Here is a 2,586-nt window from a genome sequence, read left to right as displayed (position 1 = left end):
TCTTTTTCTCCCTCACCTACTCTAGGCAAGAAGGTCTGGGTTGTCTGGTATTTGCCTTAGCAGATATTTCCCTTCCTCTGTTTGAATTGCCTTCATAGCCTGAAATAAAATGAAATGAGAAATGTTATAAGGGAACATTTAAGTTGATCATCAAATATCATAGGTCAGTCTGCTGAGTAGCTGGTTCCTCAACAGCTAGGTTTCAGGACCTAGATTAAAAAATCAAGCAAATGAAGTTGCAGAGACTCATGTTCACCTCCGTGAATTGTTCAGAATTGAGCCACGTGACCTAGACAAATGGTGATTTCTTCATCACTCCCTACCTTTGTATCTGTCCTCTCATTAGCCTCTCTTCAGATTGTATCCCTGTTATAAGACATCCCTCTTCCTCTTCCTCTTCCTCTTCCTCTTCTTCTTCTTCTTCTTCTTGCTTCTTCTTCTTCACCTTGCCCTACTTTCTTAACCCTAGGGAGGATTTTTCAGAAGTTTTCAAAACTAAGCATCCCCAATTGCTTAGTTTTGTCAGAATTGTCAGAATATAAAGCATTTACCTATAGGGTAGGGTGTTTTCATGGCCAACGTGAGAACAGTCAGCAGCTAGCCAGAAATATCCTCTTCTGTATGAGCATCTAATTCAGAACCTTAAACCATTTCTAGGCCAGGCGCAGTGGCTCACGCCTGTAATCCCAGCACTTTGGGAGGCCAAGGTGGATGGATCAACTGAGGTCAGAATTTCGAGACCAGCCTGGCCAACATGGTGAAACCCCGTCTCTACAAAAAATACGGCAGGTGTGGTGGCAGGCACCTGTAATCCCAGCTACTCGGGAGGCTGAGGCAGGAGAATCACTTGAACCCATGAGGCGGAGGTTGCAGTGAGCGGAGATTACACCATTGCACTCCAGCCCAGGCAACAAGAGCAAAACTCTGTCTAAAATAACAAAAAACAAACAAACAAAAAATATTTTAGTGAAGTTGTATGGGTCACTCACTCTAATTTCTCTCTTTCTCTCTCCCCTTTCTTTCTTTCCCCCCCCCCCAAAAAAAAGGTGTATACTCATACAGCAATATAGTAGGATCTAACCTGGTCCACATACCTTGCTGTTCACAGGTGTTTCGGGTGTCCTGTCCTATGTTAAGAATTGATGGCTAGAAATTCTGAAATGACCATAATAGCTTTGGTATTAGACCCTTATGGTTCAAGGAAGGGAGAAAAAGAATGTATTCCAGTACCTTTCCTAGTTAATCTTCAATTCCAAGGACCTTGAGAACCTTCCATGGGACATTAGTAGAACGGAATGTCCGAGGTGATTTGAATGCTGCCTCTATTTCTGCTAAGTTTCCACCCAGACCAAAGATAGGAAAATCTTCCCACAGAGTCTTCCATATGCACACTTAGTAAAGAGAAAATTCAGCACCCAGATCGTGTTCAGACATATCCCCATTCTGCAGCAGCACATGCGTGCACAACAATAGTGCACTCTGTGATCAAACATTTTACCACACGGTGAAAGCAAAAATGTGTGGGCTTTAGAGTCAGGCCAATATGGGTTCAAATATCAGAGCTGCCTGATTACTGTTGGGTTCTCAGGGGGCTAGTATGTTATACGTCTCTTCCCCACCCTGAGCTATTTGACAAAATTAAGAAGACACAGGAACCAGACCAAAGGAAATAAAAATCTCAGCCTCATTACTGCAAAAGCTGTTTGGAAGATGTGGCTGTAGATCGGCAGCCAAGTGGGTTTGCTACTTTGTCACTCAGAAGGAAGGAGACTCTTCCTGAAAGGGGCCTGCTCTGCTTAAAATGACATTAGAGATAGGCAAAGAATATAGGTACTTCCTGGGGCAGCCTGAATCCAAAAGAATGAGAGAGGAGGGACAAGGAAAGCTCCTCTGCTTTCTTGTTTCAAATGCACCAGGGAGAAGAGTAAGTTAAACTTGAGAAGAGAGGCCAGGAAAATAGGGAAACCTGAGCCGCAGGAGTAAAGGTTACCTCTTAGTAAATATCATCACATAACTGTGTCTTTGAGCAAGTTACTTAACATTTCCGAGTCTTAGTTTCTTTGTCTATAAAATGGGAATAATAATACTAACCTGACAGGCTGCACATACTTAAATTGTTAAAAATGTGTGTGTGTGCATGTGTGTGTGTGCATGTGTGTGTGTACTACAACTGCTACCTTAGAGCCTGCCACTAAATAATAAATAATGCCACCTCACTTTCTAGTCTATCCCCCACCCCTACCTTTCCTCCTAGATACTAAATCAGTCAAAGATGTCTCTGGGTAGAAGGCAATTCAACCCTCTCTCTCCTACGATTAGGAGTGGTTAAAAAGGAGAAGAAGCACTGGGCGCGGTGGCTCATGCCTGTAATCCTAACACTTTGGGAGGCCGAGGCGGGGATATCACCTGAGGTCACGAGTTCAAGACCAGCCTGGCCAACTGGGTGAAACCCCATCTCTACTAAAAATACAAAAATTAGGTGGGTGTGGTGGTGAGCGCCTGTAATCCCAGCTACTCAGGAGGCCGAGGCAGGAGAATTGCTTGAACCCAGGAGGCAGAGGTTGCAGTGAGCCGAGACTGCACCAT

The 2,586-nt window shown here is 44.1% G+C and overlaps 1 annotated feature.

Moving 5' to 3' along the window:
* Positions 856-2,055: an enhancer, noted in NCBI's record as "MED14-independent group 3 enhancer chr6:9614589-9615788 (GRCh37/hg19 assembly coordinates)". NCBI's record gives its function as "activates an origin of replication core promoter dependent on BRD2, BRD4, P300/CBP and CDK7 cofactors, and independent of MED14, by STARR-seq in HCT116 cells {active_cell/tissue: HCT116}" and the evidence as "EXISTENCE:reporter gene assay evidence [ECO:0000049][PMID:35650434]".

Source organism: Homo sapiens, chromosome 6 (assembly GCF_000001405.40).
Source record: "Homo sapiens chromosome 6, GRCh38.p14 Primary Assembly".
NCBI classification, from domain to species: Eukaryota; Metazoa; Chordata; class Mammalia; order Primates; family Hominidae; genus Homo; species Homo sapiens.
This window is presented reverse-complemented; position numbering and strand designations above follow the sequence as displayed.